Here is a 4282-nt window from a genome sequence, read left to right as displayed (position 1 = left end):
CAAGTGCCTTCTTATATCAAACTTTCACTTGTTACATCCTGAATCCCATAAATCCTTGTCTTTGACATAAATTTTAATTTTTGAGGACTTATTATCTTTCCTAAGTTTTCTTATAGCCAGAAGCATCTATGTCATTGCCTTAAAATTATGATAGATTGATCCAGTCTGTTTTAATTATTAAAATATATGTATTTCTCATTAGTATTTTATTAACATTCATAAAGGTTTATTTATAATTAGTAGATGCTTCATTTCTTAGGAGATGAAGGATTGAATCTCTGTGCTTACTTTTCCTTTTCAGAACATTTTATCCACTTATAATTTCACCACATTCTGTTTTGCCACAGTCATTGTGTATACCTGTATGCCATAGCTGTAATCAACTATAATAAACTTGGAAGTCATTATTCTATAAGATCATTAATGCTGATGAGTTCATTAGTATTTAGAATATCCCTCCTTCTGTGATCTTTTCTATAGTAGGAAAAAGGTCTACCTCATTGTGTAGAAATCCTATCTCATATTGGTTCATTCACATATCTTCTTTCTTACACAGATATAAACAAGAATATGTGCTGAACATATGGAAACATACCCTAAACAAAAAGAAGAAAACATCATATTTAAATACTCTCCTACTTCTTTAAATCAATAAGGATGGAAAGAGCCTGTTAGAATCTTTCTGTTGTTGTAATGCAAGTAGCTCTTTGCATACCTTGTGTTTTCTTTCGAGTGTTACTGTGAAATTGTGGCTTTTTAGATACTTAATTTTTTCCAATTTAGCAATTAGCATTATTACTTTGGTTATTATTTGCTATGTTTTTGTTATTGAAACACTACTCCCTAATATTCCAAGTAGCAGCCTTGATTTCTGGTTAACAACAGGTTGCTTTGACTCCATCTTATTTTGTCTTTACAACAAACTTGAAGCCAATTACCCTCCAGGGATCAAAATGTGTGTGCTGGGGTGCACATGAGGATTGGTAATACACTAGAGTAGTGTCCCTGCTGCTGGGCCATTTATAATAATGATAGAGTTGGAAAATAAATCTTTTAAAGACATGAATTCATACTGATTTTTCCAATGTAACATATTACCGAAACTAACTTTTTTGTAGACATGCTTTTATGCTTATATTAAATACGTAATAAGATGGAGAAAATGTATTATCTTCACAGCCGGTAGCAGAATTCCTCCACAGGAAAAATCAGTCTGTCTTGGGAAAAATGTTTTAATTTTTTAGAGTTGAAGGTGAGATTCTCTCTCTTCCCCATTTCCACCATCAAGGCCTAAAAAAAAAAAAAGCTGACCCCCAAAGTTTCAGTGAAGAATTTAGTTGTTCAAGGGCTACCAGGAAGAGGAAACTTGAGGACAACAGATGACAGTAGGGGAGGAAAGTCGGGTTTTAGATGTTACTGTTGTTCATGATGATGCACCAAATAAACAAACAAAAAATATCAAATTCTTGCATGTATGTGTGATAACATTTCTTCATGAAAACTGAAGAAAGAGCTGAACTTCATGTCAGATGGAGGAGTTATGAGACATATAGTATGCCAGGAAGTAGAAACACAAAGATCTGGAGAAACCTATGAATACCAGTTCCCTGTAAACTTTTTAGAAATATGAAGACCTCTTGGGACTTCCACAGAGTGGAAACAGTGGGCATTACACCAACTGTACTTAGACACTGAGAAGTAAAAAAGGTGTCTGTATTAAAAATAGAACACAAATTAACTTAAGAAAAAGGTTGCCAGATTTAGCAAATGAAATCACAGAATATCCAGTTAAATTTGAACATCAAATAAACAACAAATTTTTTTATAAATATGTCCCATGAAATATTTGGGACAAACTTACGCCATCTTTCAAACCCAACAATGGGAGTTACAGTGTGTGTGTGTGTGTGTATTAGAAACTACAAATATGCTCACAATAATTATAAATATATGAAACATATATTAGTTATAAATATATAAGTATTGATATATTTTATGTATATAAAACCCTTAGTTGTGATAAATAGAATAATCTCCACCTTCTTCATTTTTGCATTTATTTCTGTCTTGGTCATCCTGATTTTTCATTGTCTCTTTACCCTTTGTTTTCCGTGTGCTCCATGCTAATATGTAATAATCATTGTGTTTGAAGCCTGTTATTCAAAATTCTCAGAGTATCTGTGTGTGTGATTGCAAAAATGTCAAGTTGAAGGTCTTTATAAACTTCTTCTTCAGATCTAATTAATTCTGTTCTCCACTACAGAAAACATATGTTGATCCCAAACATGCAATGACATCCATATAAACCTTGCAAAATGATGGCTGTGATGACACCCAGTGATGGTCTTTCTCAACTCTCTGTACCTCATCTCACTCATCAGAGACTTTGGAGCCTCAGTTGCCTTGCAATGCTGTTTCAGGTAAGGTGGGAATTCTTTTTTTCTTTTTTTTTTTTTTTTTGGTAGAAATAAAGAATCTTCCATGTTGAGGAATGAGCCTGACTCATTGTGCATAAACCTGGTGCCCTACTGTGAGACGTGGCACCTTAACTGCCGTTGATCAGCATTCAGTCTCTTTCTTTTTCTCCATTGCACATAGGCTGTACTCATTCTTTCTGCACCACAAATGTCATGCCTTCTCAAGTGTTTTTATGCCCTGGACCCATTGCATCCAGTGATGTCAGAGGAATTCTCAGCTCAATATCGTCACATGATGGATCAGAGATACAGAACTAGAATTCATGAGGGATACATATCTCAAGTGAAAGGTGCATATCTACGGATTGTCCACAAGAAACCAATCAGTTATGCAAAATCTTTTCCAAAGGAAATGGGAAATTAAGGAAAAAAGTGAATAAAACTTTACAAAAATGATTGTGTGGCAGTGAAATGAATGTGTCAAAAGTATAAAAATAGCAAAAGCTAACTGAACTACAGTAACCTGTCATAAGATACTTAAAATGATCCTAAGCCTTACAAGAAACAAATTCAGAAAGGGGCACAAGGTTCCTTTGAGTTTGCATAACTTATCAAAAGGTGGGAAACATTCTTCAAGTTCCACTCTTTTCTTCCGTACAGAAAGGGGATTGGACTAAATTAGTGATGTTCAAGCTGTGACCTAAGTATCCCTGGTGTTTCTTTGGTGACACAAGGATGGGAATGGTGGGGCAGGATGTCTCATTCATGAGGCAGAGTATCTCTAATATTTTTACATATTGGAACTCACAGAAAATTTCCATTGAAATAAAAGTTTCATATGTATATTAAGTTCCTAGGTTACTGTAACAAATTACCACAAATTTACTTGCTTAAGATAACAGAAATTTATTCTCTCATAGTTATGGAGGTCAGAAGTCCAAAATGAAGGTAACGGGTGGGCTATATACTCCCTGCAGCAGGTTGAGGGGGGATTCTGCTTCTTGCCTCCTTCAGCTTCTGGTGTCTCTTGGCAGTCCTTGGCATGTGACTCTCAGTTCAATCCCTCCCTCGGCCTTCACATAGCCTTCTCCTCTTTGTGTGTCTTCTCCCCTTCTATTCTCTTATGATGACACTTGTCACTCGATTTAGGATTTTGCAAGATGATCTCCAATGGAGATCTTAATTTAATTTCATCTGCAAAGACCATTTTTCCAAAAAAGGTCACATTCTTAGGTTCTAGGTCAATATATCTTTTGGGAAGCCACCATTCAAACCCCTGGAGTGTTCAAAAAAGTTTAACTTAACTCAATATTTTAAAGGTTCTTTTATAGATGTACTTTTCAAATTATGGATTTAACACATTTGTTTTAATAAGTAAAATATACAAAGATGTATAAAGTAAAAGCTAATTGTCTATTCCCCACCCAGCTCTTCTCCAATCTTACCTCTTTCCACCATTTCTCTCCAACTCATCCAGATTCACTGCTCCTCTGTCAGTCAAGCTGGTAACCTATGTTAACAACACTGTGTACTTCTACGCTATACTTCAGGATCATGTAATTACACACACACACCCACACACACACACATCCCCACATGAAATCGATAAGAAGTTTAAAATTGACTATACAAATTAGATCATATAATATACACTCTTCTTCATCTAACTTTTCTCATTCAAAAATGCCTTGAGTACATTGCTCTAAATCAACTAGAGTAGTTCTAATATACTATTTCTAATCAATGCCTTATAGCACAGTATTCCACAATGCAGACAAACCACTATTTATTTCAAGCCCTCTCCTATTGATAGGCATTTTTTATATTCCCACACTTCCATATTTTTGCACATTTGAAAAATTCTG

At 34.7% G+C, this 4282-nt stretch overlaps 1 long non-coding RNA gene across 1 annotated transcript; it reads left to right on the top strand.

Annotated features, from left to right (window-relative positions):
* The first annotated feature begins 2260 nt into the window (after positions 1–2260).
* Positions 2261–2873, top strand: LINC02903 (long intergenic non-protein coding RNA 2903). Its single transcript, NR_171002.1, has 2 exons — positions 2261–2420; positions 2599–2873. It is a non-coding gene; the product is annotated as a long intergenic non-protein coding RNA 2903 (long non-coding RNA).
* The last annotated feature ends 1409 nt before the right edge of the window (positions 2874–4282 follow it).

This window comes from Homo sapiens, chromosome 7, assembly GCF_000001405.40.
Source record: "Homo sapiens chromosome 7, GRCh38.p14 Primary Assembly".
NCBI lineage: Eukaryota > Metazoa > Chordata > Mammalia > Primates > Hominidae > Homo > Homo sapiens.
The sequence above is the reverse complement of the archived record's forward strand: the minus strand, read 5'-3'. Positions and strand labels throughout refer to the sequence as shown.